This window comes from Homo sapiens, chromosome 9 (genome assembly GCF_000001405.40).
Source record: "Homo sapiens chromosome 9, GRCh38.p14 Primary Assembly".
Classification (NCBI taxonomy): Eukaryota; Metazoa; Chordata; class Mammalia; order Primates; family Hominidae; genus Homo; species Homo sapiens.
Window position 1 is genome coordinate 18,807,092 of NC_000009.12, and position 15,948 is coordinate 18,823,039.

A 15,948-nucleotide genomic window follows, 5' to 3' on the forward strand; every position below is an offset into this window, starting at 1 on the left:
TTGGAGGGGCTTCACTTCTCATATTGGGCCTGATAAATTGAAACGCTTGCCTTTATTTCGGTTTCCTTATTTTTTCTTCAATTTATACAGATACAAAACTTGGCATATTCTCCTTCTGTTTGTATGGCTCTCATTCAGCTATAACACAAACAAATTTACAGATTAAATGAAAGAATGTAAACCCTATCAATTTCTATAAATTAACACTATTCTGTGAGCTGATGCTGACTTGCTAAAACTAAATGGCTGTTCACAAAGCATACATAGTACAGGCCGGGCGCGGTAGCTCACGCCTGAAATCCCAGCACTCTGGGAGGCCGAGGCGGGCGGATCACGAGGTCAGGAGATCGAGACCATCCTGGCTAACACGGTGAAACCCCGTCTCTACTAAAAAATACAAAAAATTAGCCGGGCGCAGTGGCAGGCGCCTGTAGTCCCAGCTAGTCGGGAGCCTGAGGCGGGAGAACCGGCGTGAACCCGGGAGGCGGAGCTTGCAGTGAGCCGAGATCGCACCACTGCACTCCAGCCAGGGCGACAGAGCGAGACTCTGTCTCAAAAAAAAAAAAACAAAAAAAAAACAAAGCATACATAGTACTGACTGCTGAGGCGCGGCGCATTCAGTGGAGGGCTCAGTAATGCTGACTTAGCTCTCAGCACCTTTTTCTGTTTTTCCTATTCTGAAAGCCCTTTTGGTACAGCGTGCCATGGCTTTTGTTATCTTAACACAAATGTATAATTTATCATTTCACTCCTTCTCTGCATCTATGTTTTTTTCTCCTTAGTTAACTTCTATGGTTAAACTAGTACTAGTTAATATCAATGTGATTGTAATCGTGTCCACAAACATAGGTACTGGCAATCACGTGGCAGTCATCACACAGCAGTAATCTATTAGTAGGTGATCAACCAGGTGATCTAAAGTAGGCTTATGTTGATTTTTTTTAAGTTGGCCACTAAAATAACAGCTCCAGCTTGAAAAATTGTAATAGAGATCTAGTGGTGTCTCAAAAGATAATCTCTCACCAGGAAGAAGAGGAACCAGTTAAAGAAAAACTAAAAGAGTACAATGTATTGAATATCAAACCTGCCTCCATAACAGAATCACCTAGGAACTTGTTTAAAATAGAGATTACAGCTTGTACCCTGTCACCTGAGATTCAGATTTAGTAGTTCTGAAGTGGGACTCAAAATATATGCTAACGTTTTTCTAATAGGTGTAAGAGGGTCAATTGATTAAGCAACATTATTTTCATTAAAATCTCTATTGATTATAAATACTTGGATAACTTTGTGCTTTGTCTTAACAATGGATCATGAAAGTAATAAGAATGTATAAGAAGTAGCCTGTGCTAACAACAGTGATCCTCCTGACAAGAAAAAAAGGCCATTACTTTCCAGCAAAAACTCAATATAATTAATTAAGGGCTGGATTTCATTCAGTGACATTTGAATTTTATAGCTATACACTTGCAGCTATAAAAAACCACCTTTATTATTAAAATTCCTGTAGGAAAAATAACTTGGTAATTGTGACTCTAAAGCTCTCTGGTCCCTAACCTCATTTTCCCCACTGGCACAGTTGTTTTTATAACACAGTAGAGCAACTCTTGTATTATAGCAGGACAGATTATATTTTAAACAAGTGCCCTGGGAATTCTGAGGCAGCCAGTCCACAGACAAAGATTTGGGACTACCTATCACAAGCACCAGACTTTAGGTCAAAGATCTGGGCTCCAGTTCAGCCCTATAACTTGCTAGTTCTGTTGCCTTGGACAAACCATGGGGCCTTTCTGAGTCTGAGTTCTTTGTGTATGTAAAAGATAGTACTGTTGTTTCTGCCTCTCAGGGTTGTTATCCAAAAAATCCAGATAATGCACATAGCACACCATATAAACACATATTTTCACTTAACAGATACTTATTGAGAATCTACTAGGCGCCAGGCCTAGGTGATAGAAATAAAGAAGACAAGAGAGATGTGATCTCTGATGTTATCAAAATTACATAATGAAGTAGCAGGGGCTGGGGGGAGATACACAAATATAGAAGATAAATTCTGTTAGTTCTAGTGCTTATGAAAAAAGTAAAGTTGTCCCCATCTAAAGTATACATCTCTTCACCTCCATACCACACACAGGGATGCATGCTTTATATGGAGTGGTTAGAAAAGGCCTCACTAGGAGGTGTTATTTGCACAGAGACCTGAACGACCGGAAGAGAGCCGTGCAGAAGTCTGTAGGTGGAAGATGTCAGGGACAGGGAATGGCCAGGGCTGATGTGCTGCTGTGTTGGAGGAAAGGAAGGCCAGTGTGCTGGAGCACTGTGATTGATGGGGAGTGTGGGCTAAGTGAGGTAGGTGATATAGACCACTGGGTCTTAATGTACAAGGGACGGTTGGTCATGAAAAGGAGCTTGAGGCCGGGCATGGTGGCTCACTCCTGTAATCCCAGCACTTTGGGAGGCCAAAGCAGGTGGATCACCTGAGGTCAGGAGTTCGAGACCAGCCTGACCAATATGGTGAAACTCCGTTTCTATTAAAAATACAAAATTAGCTGCATGTGGTGGTGCATGCCTGTAATCTCAGCTACTCGGGAGACTGAGGCAGGAGAATTACTTGAACCCAGGAGGCAGAGGTTGCAGTGAGCTGAGATCCCCCCATTGCACTCCAGCCTGGGCAACAAGAGCGAAACTCCATCTCAAAAACAAAAAAAAGAAAAGAAAAAGAGCTTGAAGTTTTGTTTTAATTGTACTGAAAAGGGACTGGAAAGTTTAAGCAGAAAAGTTGTATGGTTTGATTCATGTTTTAGCAAGATCACGCTGGCTGCCATAAAACTGTAGTGAGGGAAGAGTGAAAGTCAGAAGACCAGTTAGTCTGTATAGTAGTCCAGCCAGAGATTATGGTAGCATTAGATCATAGCAACAGAGATGCTGGTGAGATGCAGGGGTAGATTTGGAGTCAGAGCTGGGTAGCTCTAACTCTGAGTAGGGAGGTGAGGTCATGTATACCAGTGCTAATTCAGTATCATTCCAACTGCTTCCTCCCATTGTGGCCATACATTTACTATGCTCAACAATCATTATAGTACTAAATCACTCATCAGATGATACATAATCTCAAATGTATGGAATATAAGTTGTATAAGGAAAAAGGCCCCTGAACAGTCAAAATAGAGCCTATGCATGCATTCCAAGGTGAGCTTCTCAGAACATTATTCAAGTTTCTGCCCTTGAACACAGTTCTGATGAGCTTAATTACCTATGCCTAGAAGGCAAATAAAATGGCAAAGAAGAAAGAGGGATAGCTTCTATTATGAGGCTGTGGGACGGTACAAACAGGAATACAGGATAAATAGATGTGGGAGAAAACAAAAAATATAAAAAGCAAGTATAAGACTCCAAAGGGCATTTCTGAATTAAGGTTTTCTTCACATTTAATGAAAGCAGAGAAGAGTGAATATCACTGTAGAATATCCTGCCTGTAACATGGTTAAAACAAAATTAAATCCACTTAACTTACAGAAGGTTAAGCTTGGGTTATATGAATATGATCTCATGGGGACCCAACTTCCCCAAGGTGTTCAATGAATGAGTCTTTTCATTGTATTTTGTAGTCATGTGCATGAAGTTCTGTATTTTATTCCCAGCTGATAAAGGCCTATTAAAACACAATGTACACAGGACTTCGACTTCTGGAAAGATGGCATAGTTACACTTTTCCCTATTCTTACTGCTAAGTACCACTAAAGGCCCTGTACATTATATATAAAACACACATAAGGAGAATAAAAAGTAAAGGGAAGAAAGCCAACTGACCAAAGACCTTGGAAATCAAACTGTAAATTTGTTGGGTTTTCTTTTTGCCTCATAAATCACAAACTTGGAGTTCAAGAAGCTGGCTACTGGTAAACACCAATGAGTACCAAAAAAAAAAAAAAAAAAAAAAACAAACACCAGCTAGAAACCTTCTCTCTCTAACAAAAGGACTAGGAAAGGGGAAGCATAGCAAGACAGAAAACCTTTAGAAAATTCTACTCTATGCTAGCCAAATGCCACCGAAAACAGTGTGTCCACCACTACCTGCACCAGCAAAGGCTGAGCAGGGAGCCTAGATTCCCCACCAGCCAGCCTCAAATGAGGTGCCCCCCAACCCTCATGGAGGGGAGTATCAGAGATTTTCAGTCCTCGTTCATTACACCTACCAGAGTGTAATGTGGAGACCACATGGGGAGCCTGGAGTTCCACCTTCACCCTGCCGTGCCCACCTTTCCCTCCCCACTGGGGTGGTGTAGAGGAGGTCTCCTGGAGAGTGAGGACTTGTACCACCTGCCCAAGGTGAGGAGGCTCCTCCCACAGCTGTGTAGTGGGGACTATGTGGGGATCCAGAACTCCCACTCCTGCCCAGCAGTAATGAGGAGTCCCACACTTGGGTAACAAAAGAGGCCAAGTGGAGAACTTGGACTTAACCTGCACTGGGTAGTAACAAGGAGGCATCTCCCTGCTCCCAAGCCTGAGTGGTTTTATAGAAAGCAGCTAAAACAGAAGGTTTACATAAGATCCAGAGTCTCATAACTAAAAAAATATACAGGCTTCAATTGAAACCTAGACATCATGAAAAAACCCACCTTCATCACCCTTATTCATTGTAGTGCTAGAACTTCTACCCAGTGCAGTAATGGAAGAAAAGGAAATAAAAGGCATAGAGACTGGAAACAAAGAAATACAACTTGTCCCTATTTGCAGATGAAATGATTGTCTTTATAGACAATCAAAAGAAAACCAAAATAATTAGGTTAATGTAACAAAATATAACAGGACTTGTATCTCAGAAACAACAAAACTCTGATGAAAGAAATTAAAGAAGATCTAAATTAAAGAAGATAAATAGACATATTTATCATGGATTGGAAAACACAACAAAGTCAAGATGTCATTTCTTTCCTAATATACATGTTTAATCTAATTCCTGTCATAATCTTACTAATATTTTATACATGTAGAGAAGATTATTCTAAAATGTATATGAAAAAGCAAAGGAACTAGAATAGCAAAGAGGCAGGAGTAATCAGCCAACCTAATTTCAGAATTAGTTATATAGCTACAATAAATAATATTGTGTGATATTGGTAGAGGGACAGACACATAGATCAGTGGAACAGAATAGAGAACTCAGAAACAGATCTACACAACTGTGCCCAGCTAATTTTGACAAAAGTGCAAAAGCAATTCAATGTAGGAAATATAACCAATAAGTGGTGAGAGAGCAATTAGACATCCATAGTCAAAAAATAAATGGGCTTTGACCTCTTATCTAAATGTGACCTCTCACATCTTACATAAAAATTAACTCAAAATATATCACAGACTTAAAGGTAAAATGTAAAACTATAAAACATTTAGAAAAAAATAGGAAAAATCATCAGGACCTAGATCTAAGTAAATAGTTCTTAAACTTGCTATCAAAAGCATAATCCTGTTTTTGCTTTTGTTGCCTATGTTTTTGGGATCTTATCTAAAAAATTGCTGCCCAGACTAATGTCATGAAGTGTTTCCTCTATGTTTTTTCCTAGTAGTTTTATCATTTTGGGTCTTACATTTAAATCTTTGATCCATTTTTAATTTTTATGTAGTAAGAACTAGGGGTCTAGCTTCAGTTTTCCCAGCACCATTTATTGAGGAGACTGTCCTTTCTCTGTTCTGTGTTCTTGGCACTTTTGTTGAAAATGAGTTGGCTGTAAGTACGTGGATTCATTTCTGAGTTCTCTATTCTGTTCCATGGGTTTATGTGTCTATTTTTATGGCAATACCATGCTGTTTGGGTTACTGTAGCTTTATAGTATATTTTAAAATTAGGTGGTGTGATGCTTCCAGCTATGTACTTTTTTTTTTTTTTTTTTTGAGATGGAGTCTCACTCTGTCACCAGGCTGGAGTGCAGTGGCACAATCTCAGCTTACTGCAAACTCTGCCTCTTTGGTTCAAGTGATTCTCCTGCCTCAGCTTCCCAAGTAGCTGGGAGTACAGGCTGTGCCACCACGCCCAGCTAATTTTTGTATTTTTAGTAGAGATGGGGTTTCACCATGTTGGCCACAATGGTCTCAGTCTCTTGACCACATGATCCGCCGCCTCAGCCTCCCAAAGTGCTGGGATTACAGGCATGAGCCACCACACCCGGCCCCCAACTTTGTACTTTTCGCTCAAGGTTTCTTTGGCTATTTGGGGTATTTTATGGTTACAGACAAATTTTGAGATTGTTCTTTCTATTTTTGTAAAGAGTGTCATTTGTATTTTCACAGGGATTGCACTGAATCTGTAAATTGCTTTGTACAGTATGGACATTTGAACAATATTAATCCTTCCAATCCATGAGCATGGGATATCTTTACATTTATTTGTGTCCTTTTCAATTTCTTTCATCAATGTTTTATACTTTTCAGTGTAGACATATTTCACCTCCTTGGTTAAATTTGTTCCTAAGGGGTTTTTTGTAGCTATTGTAAATGGGATTGTTTCCTTGATTATTTTCAGGTAGTTTACTATTAGTATATAAAAACACTACAGATTTTTGTTTGTTGATTTTAAATCCTGCAACTTTACTGAATTTGTTTGTTCTAACAATTTTTTAGTAAAGTTGTAGGGTTTTCTATATATGAGATCATGCCATCTGCAAACAAGGACAGTATAACTTTTTCCTTTCCAATTTGAATGCCCTTTATATGGTTCTCTTAACTAATTGGTTTGGCTAAGACTTGCAGTACTATGTTGAAGAAAAGTGGTGAACATGGATATTCTTGTCTGGTTCCAGATCTAAGAGGAAAAAATTTCAGTTATTCCCCATTCAGTATTATATTAGCTGTGGATTTGTCATATATGGCCTTTATATTCCTGAAGCCTTCTCAACCTAATTTGTTATGAGTTTTTATCATGAATGGATGTTGAATTTTGTCAACAGCTTTTTCTACATCTATTGTCTTTCTTATAATAGCCATTCTAACTGGGGTGAGATGATACCTCACTGTGGTTTTGGTTTGGATTTCCCTGAAGATTAGTGATGTTGAGCATATAGTTTTTGTCCTTCATTCTGTTCATGTGATATATCACATTTGTTGATCTGCGTATGTTGAACCATCCTTGTGTCTGTAGGATGAAACTTCTTCATGGTGAACAATCTTTTTAATGTGCTGTTGAATTTGGTTTGCTAGTATATTGTTAAGGATTTTTATATACATGTTCTTCAGGGATCTTAGCCTGTAGCTTCCTTTTTGTTATTGTGTCCTTGTTGGTTACATCCAACTGAAAAGCTTCTGCACAGCAAAGGAAACAATCAACAGAATAAAAAGACAATCTACAGAATGAGATAAAATATTTGCAAACTCTTTATCTGGCAAGGGATTAATATTCAGAATACGTAAGGAACTCCGACAACTCAACAACAACAAAAAATAATTTTCAAAAATGGACAAAAGATAAAAAAGAACAGGATCAAATTCTTTGTAGGAACATGGATGGAGCTGGAGGCCATTACCCTTAGCAAACTAACGCAAGAACAGAAAACCAAATACTGCATGTTCTCACCTATAACTGGGAGCTAAATGATGAGAACACGTGGACACAGAGGGAAACAACAGATGCTAGGGCCTGGTGGAGGGCAGGAGGAGGGAGAGGATCAGGAAAAATAACTATCGAGTACTAGGTTTAATACCTGGCTGATGAAATAATCTGTACAACAAACCCCCATGACACAAGGTTACCTATGTAACAACCCTGCATATGTGCCCCTAACTTAATTAGTTAATTAATAAGGGCAAAAGACCTGAATAGACGTTTCTCAAAAGAATACATACAAATGGCCAACAGGCATATGAAAAAATGCTCAACATCACTAATCTTCAGAGAAATGTAAACCAAAACCAAAATGTGATATCACCTTACCTCTATTAGAATGGGTACTATCAAAAAGACAAAAAATAGCAAATACTGGCGCAGATGTGGAGAAGAGAGAATTCTTATACATTGTTAATGGGAATGTAAATTAGTATAGCCATTATGGAAAACAGCTTAGATGTTCCTCAAAAAATTAAAACTAGAACTACCATATGATCCAGCAATCCTACTCCTGGGTATATATGCAAAGGAAATGAAAACAGTAATCAAAGTGATATCTGCACTCCAATATTTACTGCAGCACTATTCACAATATCCAAGATATAGAATCAATCCAAGTGTCCATCAACAGATGAATGGATAAAGAAAATATGGTATATATGTACAGTGGAATACTTTTCCACCATTAAAAAAAAAAAAGAAAAAGAATGAGGACAGGCGTGGTGGCTCATGCCTGTAATCCCAGCCCTTTGAGAGGCTGAGGTGGGTGGATCGCTTGAGCCCAGCCAGGAGTTTGAAACTAGCCTGGGCAACACTGGGAAACCCTGTATCTACAAAAAAATACAAAAAATACAAAAAAAAAAAATTCTATCCAGGTGTGATGGTATACACCTGTAGTTTCAGCTACCCAGGAGGCTTAGGTGGAAGGATCACTTGAGCTTGGGAGGCAGAGGCTGCAGTGAGCCAACATCACACCACTGCCCTCCAGCCTGGATGCCAAAGCAAGACCAACCCTGTCTCAAAAAAAAAAAAAAAAAAAAAAAAGAGAAAAAAAAAAGAAATCCTGTTATTTGCAGCAACATGGATAAACCCGGAGGTTATTATGTTAAGTGAAATAAGCCAGGCACAGAAAGACAAACTTTTCTTTTTATGGATCATGCTTTTCAAAATTTTTTCATTGACACATAATAATTGTACATATTTATGGGGAACAGTGTGATTTTTTTGGATACATGTATACATTGTATAAAAATCAAATTAGGGTATTTGGCGTATCCAACACTTCTTATATTTATCATTTCTTTGTGGTCAGGACATTCAAAATCCTTTCCCCTAGATATTTTGAAATATACACATAGTCACCCTACTGTGCAATATAATACCAGAACTTATTCCTCCTATGTAACTATAACTTTGTGCCTCTTGACCAATCTCTCGCTATCTTCCTCTCCCCGCTCCCTTCCCCAGTCTCTGTTAACCACTATGCTACTCTCTACTTCTATAAGATCAACTTCTTTAGATTCTACATATAAGTGAGATAATGCAGTATTTCTCTTTCTGTATCATTTCTTTTTTGAGACAGAGTCTCACCCTGGAGTGCAGTGGTGTGACCTCGGCTCATTGCACCTTCCACCTCCCAGGTTCAAGTGATTCTCATCCCTCAGCCTCCTAAGTAGCTGGGATTACAGGTGCATGCCACCACACCCGGTTAATTTTTGTATTTTTAGTAGAGACGGGATTTCACCATGTTGGCCAGGCTAGTCTCAAACTCCTGGCCTCAAGTGATCGACCCACCTCAGCCTCCCAAAGTGCTGGGACTACAGGCATGAGCCACTGCACCCAGCACTCTCTATTATTTCTTATAACTGCAAGTGAGTCTACAATTACCTTAAAGTGAAAAAATTTAATTTTAAAAAAGGGCCCTGTAAAACATGATGTCGAGGATTATTTGTTAATTTAATGATTAGAATGCATAAATCATCTCAATTTGTATAACATGCTCTGTCTTCAAACTCTTCAACCCTTGGTCTTTTTTTTTTTTTTTTTTTTTTTTTTTTGCAAGTTGTAAACATTTTTTAAATTTAATTTAATTTTAAAAAATTTACAAATAATAGTTGTGCATATTCATGGAGTACATAGTGATGTTTTGATATAATTAATATATGGTGATCAGATCTGGGCAATTAGCATATCCATCATTGCAAACATTTATCATTTCTTTTACTGACAACACTGCGGTAGGTAGGTAGGTAGATGCTTTTATACTGTGCGCTTGCAATTTTTCAAGAGAAAACATAGTTAGTGGCAAAAGTCTGGGTAGACCAGCCATGCATTGGTGGTTAGCCCATATTTCAAAGGAGTGCCCCAATTTCCACAGTCACCACCAAGTAACATCTCATATTCTTTCTTATCTTCAGGAAAGCCACTAGTGAAAACGTCACGAATGACAGTGATCAACACGGAGAAGCCTGCAGTCACAGTCGATATAGGAAGCACCATCAAAACAGTGCAGGGAGTGAATGTGACAATCAACTGCCAGGTTGCAGGTGAGAAATTAATGTTCATTTGTTCACACGTTAATGGAGCCCTGTGCTAGGTTGGGGATACAAAGACAAATTAGACACAAATTCTACTCTCAGGGATATAGTGCTAGTAGGAAAGCCAAAGCATGAACCTCAGTCGCTCTGAAAGTAGAAAGTGCTACAGAAATTTAGAGGAAGAAAGATTAATTCTGACTGGGACAGATAGGTAAAATTGATCTTTTTATGTGTATGTTTTTCTTTAATCTTAGCCTTCCATACAGATAGAATGTGAACCTGCAAAGATGGGGGCAAGGAGTTCCAAGTGGACACAGGAGAGTGATAAATTCATGGAAGTAGAAAATCCTCTAGGCTGTAGAGAGAACTGGGTGAGCTTTGGTCTGGGTGGAGCCCAGAGTGCAGAAATGCAGGTGGGAAGTGACATTAAAGAGCCATGCTTCCAAAAGACAAAGCCACCAGCATTGAAGAAAATGGATTGAGAAGGGAAATACTAGGACAGAAAGGCCAAGTAAGACCCATCACTGTAGTTTAGAGGAGAAGTCATGGAGGCCTGAACTCAGGGCAGTGAGGATGGGAAGGTAACGACTGGATGGACATGAGAAAGATGGCAAGAGGTAAGACCAACAGCAGCGTGGAGCTTGCTCGAATCAGAAGTGGGCAGGAGTTATTAGAGAAGATAGCCAGTGGAGTTCTGATACAGGCATTGCTCTCAGGTGGGCCTTGCAAACTCAGAGGTCAACAGGGACCAGGAAGGCACAGTGAAGCAAGGAGTAGTAGACAAGAGGGGGTGGTAATATGCTCTGTATAAAAATATTTACCTTCAATTAAAAGACAGAAAACACCTACATATAGCAGAATGAGGCCCAGCTACTATTTTTCCCTTCATGTAGACCACTCATTTGTCATGTGTGCCCTAGGGGTTTCACTGCCACAATGGGATGAAGAAATGAATGGTTCTTGTGCCATTGGGCAACTAGTCTTCTGATTGCTGTCCTCATCAGATATACCCCACAGTGGCATGGCCACACCAAACCCAGGTTCCCCGATCATACCCTGTCTGCAGAGTAGATAGGCAGTGGCACCCCCATGCTTTGGTGGTTGCTTCATCTTAGATCTTCATCATATGAAGGTTTACCTCAATTTGTTACTTATAAGACATGAAAACCCATTTTAGAGTAAGTAGGAGGAATATCTTAACCTAGGGCTTACTGTTTCCGAATAACAGCCAAGTCTGATTTTCTCTGAAATATTCTGATAGCTTTAGGCTATCTGAAATATGGCCAGACCTGGTGGCTCACGCCTGTAATCTCAGCACTTTGGGAAGCTGAGGTGGGCAGATTACTTGAGCCCTGGAGTTGAAGACCAGCCTAGGCAACATGGCAAAACCTTGTCTCTACAAAAAAATACAAAAATTAGCCATGTGTGGTGACGCATGCCTATAGTCTCAGCTGAGGGAGGCTGAGATGGGAGGATCGTTTGAGCCCAGAGGTCAAGGCTGCAGTGAGCCATGGGCATGCCACAGCACTCCAGCCTGGGTGACAGAGCGAGACCCTATCTCAAAAAAAAAAATTAGGATATCTGAAATATAAATATATCTTTGTAAGTGTGCATTAGCTTTGCCTTTGTAAAGCTTCTCATGGCCTTTGTGATGTTTCCCTTCCAGCCTCATCAGTGAAATCTAGAACCAAGTCCCTTCAGCCCCTGTACTCCTAGATAGGGAGTAAGACAAAACCCCTGACAGGGGTTGGCATGAATGAGCTACCCCTCTGTGCAGGGATTAATGGTGGTGCCAGTAGAGCCCTTTCTGCAGAACCATCACCCCTCAACACACACCTGATCACTATGGACACATGCTTTGGCGATGAAACACTGGTGATATGATGGACCATGTTGTGTATCTTCTTGAGAGGTGGAACTGGTAGGAGTAAAAGAATAGGGGAGGGGCCAGGCATGGGGACTCACACCTGTAATCACAGCACTTTGGGGGGCCAAGGTGGGTGGATCACCTGAGGTCAGGAGTTTGAGACCAGCCTGGCCAACATGGTGAAACCCTATCTCTACTAAAATTACAAAAATTAGCCAGGCATGGTGGCAAGTGCCTGTAATCACAGCTACTCAGGAGGCTGAGGCATGAGAGTCACTTGAACCTAGGAAGCAGAGATTGCAGTGAGCCGAGATCGAACCACTGCACTCCAGCCTGGGCAATAGAGCAAGACTCTGTCTCAAAAAAAAAAAAAAAATAGGGGAGGAAAGTGCAGCAAAACAAGGAAATGGGCATTTAAAGGAGATTGAGAGGACCAGAATCTGGTTGAGGAAGTATTTACGTTGGGGAGCCTAAGATATTAAAACGAGCTTTGGCCACTCTATTGTGCCGCCTAGGGCCCTCTCTCTGGGACTTCATCCAGAGGCTCACTTGATAACCTTATAGTGAGAACCTGATATACCTAGTTTTCCCTGGCTATGACATTGCAGTCTTTATTTTTGTTTTTATCCATAAAACCATCTGTATTAATGCTGATTAACTAAAATAATTATTTGTATATTTGTCCTTATTCCTCTTGTTAAACAAGATACTCATTCAAAGTAGGTGGGAAAGAGCCTGCTTATAATTACACAGTGAATTTGCTGGACAAGGAAATCATCTGTGAGCTTAGTCTCCAGTTAAAACACTGACAGCTATAATGCTAAATGCCAAATGGCAGAGGATTACTTTTACTTTGCTGCTATAAGCAGCTCTTAAGGCTCTTTCCTTACTCTTGGTCACCTCTATCCCATTCCCAGTCAGGCAGCTTAGTGACCTCCTGATTGGTTAGGTGGGATTCTCTAAGCACCAATAACACTGCCAGTAGGTAATACTCTAGCTTGAGAATTTGCAACCCAGATTCTCGTAATAGACAGGGAAGAGGGACTCCATAAGGGCCTGCTTAAAGCAGTATTTTATGTCATATTCATTCATGTTATTCATTTAGCAGTTTTTTATGGAGTATTTAATCCAGGTTAGATCAAATTTCTCCTAATCCAAGGAGCCACAGATAAACAAGATACAATTTTCAGGAAGCTCACAGTCTGGGAAGGAGAAAAGTTATGAAATATGTAATGATAATACAATGTGATATGTAGATACGGTTGTTGTTTTCTTATTATAAAATATTAGAGTATTAAAGAAATTTTAGAAAACACAGAAAAATTTAAGAGTCCAAAAAGGAAAGAAAACAGCTTGTTCAAAGTCGTTCTCTCCAAACTCAACCACAGCTGACATTTTATTAATTTCCTTAATGATTCCCTTTTATCCTGCTTTATTTCCTCTCAGTAATAAACATTTGTCTGTGTCATAAGCATAATTTTAATGGCTATATAATAGCCTATATTAAGAATATTATGTAATTTACCTAGACCAACTCACATGTTTGAATTGTTAGCAGTTTTTCATTAAACAACTTTTTGCGTACATGTGCTTTCAGCTTACAAAATGCAGCCTCACATTCTTCCCAATCCTGAAGCATCAACAGCATTAGGCAATGAGTATGATAGGCTTTTTCTTGAAAAGTGACCTAATCCACTGTATCACTCCCATGCTTGTTCTCTATTTGTTCTCTGAAGAGGTCAGAAAACTGAGTCGGCGATAAAGGATCAGGGGAAGAAGCAGTGTTTCAGTAAATGGGAACAGAATGTGCAAAGGGCCTGAGGTAGAAAGAGCATGCTGCATTTAAAGAAGTAAAACCTGGCTGGTGGTGTGGCTATAATATCAAGAGCAGAGAAGAAAGTAGCATATGAGGCTGAGGAGGTGTGGGTAGGCAGGGGCTAGATCTTACATGTTCTCATAGATTATGGTACAGTTTAGGTTTTTCTCCTAAAAGCAAAGGAAGTATTTGAAGGACTTACTTAGGAGATAAAATCAGCAGGACTAAGGATGCAGAAATAGTTCAAGAGTCAGTGATGGGTGGTGTATTAGGATAGATTAGACTCTGGTATCAAGTAGACCCCCAAATGTATAATGGCTCAAATACAATAGAAGGTTTATTTTTGCTTATCTAAGAGCCCAAAGAGTACACCTGGTCATCTGGAGAGGATCTGCCCCCACAGTGTCATGCAGGGTCACAGGATGCTGGTGGGTCTGACATCTGGAACACATGCCTTCCAAGGTCTCCATAGGGGTTACCTCTATCCTATCAACCAGGAGAGGGGAAAACAGAATACGGAGGATGGTTGAGAAGGCTTTTAAGGGCCACGCCTGGAAGGAGCATACATTAAGACTTTTCACAATCCTTTAGTCACATGGCCACGCACAACTACAAAGGATGCTGGGGAAGGTAGGCTCACTGGGTACTCAGGAAAAAGAGGGAAACTGGTTTTGTGAACAGCTATCGTTGTCTGCCACAGTCAGTATGGAGAAACGTGGAAGGCTGGAAACCTTCTTTCCAGACTGCCTTGGTTTTTTAGAATAATTGACAAGACTGACAGTTGAGTTACTGTATCCTTTCTCTTTTCTTTCCCTAAGCCACCCTACCTCCACACCTCCTAGGAAGCTTCTAGAATTTCCCATGTAAAGGTGCACCTTTGAGTGGAAACCCCACCTTGAGATGTTGACACACCGCCATGGTGCAGGCAGCCTTCCAAATGTAATAAGGGATCCAGTTAACAAGAATACCCTGTCTGGGACTTTTTAAAAAAGAATATTTTAGCATCACCCTACCTGGCAGCTCCATGGACATCAAAGGCACTGGACCTTGTAATCATATCAAGTTACCACCCAGTATGACTAAGCTCTTTTACTGATCCTTTCAAGCAGCAGGGAGAGCATGGGGCTGTTGAAAAGATACACCACAGGGGAAAATGCAAACGTGGGTTCTTTTCCTTCGCTGTTTTAAGATACAAATAATACCAGGGAGGTTAGCATGTGGAGCCTATCCAAGTAGCTGGTCCACAACAACATAGCTTTTGGATTTTGTTCTGTGGTAGAGCATATTTTCTGTCATTTTCAGGTGTTTGTTTTTGTGGCATTTGCTGTCACACTACAGCAGGCTAGAAAAGATCATCTCCCGCAACCTGACCAAGCTTCTCAACAAGAAAGAGCTAAAAAGCCAGAACACATGGATTCTGGAACCTCTCTCCTGACAACACCTTGGTTTTACAACCACAGCAGAAACATTAATTCTGAAAGTAGAAAGGAATTAAGCCTTTGACAGTTCAGAAATAGTAAAGCAGCAGTTCAGATTTTCTCTCAAGAGTCAGGCTAGTATAATGGCAGGCGGTGTACACTTGTTAAGATGGGGACTGTTGGCATTAAAGGTATCTCAGTTTGAATCCCCACCCTGGCACTGGTGGGTTACTGATTGGCTGTAGGGTAGGGAACTGGGGGGAACAGAAACTCTTTTCTGATGTAATGATGTAATCGTTCAGGCATCCAAACAAATGTGACCTTAGGCAGATTTCTTAATCTCTATGAGACCCTTTTTCTCATAAAATGGAGTTATTAAATAGTACCTGCTTCACAGGATCATTGTTAAAAATAAGTGATTGTGTTTATAAAATGTTTGACTTATAGCAAATGTTCAATGTTATTTCTCCGTTTAACACACTCAGGATACGTTTGCATGTCTCAGTACACTCCGATGTTGAGGTATTCTGAACATCAGTATTAGGCATGTGTATCACTACCTTTTCAAGGGACTCTGTGGAACATTCAAGGGCTGGTGACGTTTTTTAAAGCGTCGTTGTCATCTCCTGAGAGAAAAAGAAAAAAAAACTTTATAACACCTCAATTATTGTTTTCTATTTCCTCATTCTACATGCGTAATGTCAGAGCCA

The 15,948-nt window shown here is 40.1% G+C and overlaps 1 protein-coding gene across 16 annotated transcripts in view; it reads left to right on the top strand.

The window, feature by feature from the left end:
* Positions 1–15,948, top strand: part of ADAMTSL1 (ADAMTS like 1) — a 1,004,318-nt gene that overhangs the window by 900,459 nt on the left and 87,911 nt on the right. For all 16 annotated transcript variants that reach the window (XM_011518064.4, XM_017015312.3, XM_011518063.3 and 13 more), the window contains one exon: positions 10,018–10,146. In XM_011518064.4, coding sequence (XP_011516366.1) covers positions 10,018–10,146 — 129 coding nt within the window. The remainder of the gene's footprint in view (positions 1–10,017; positions 10,147–15,948) is intronic.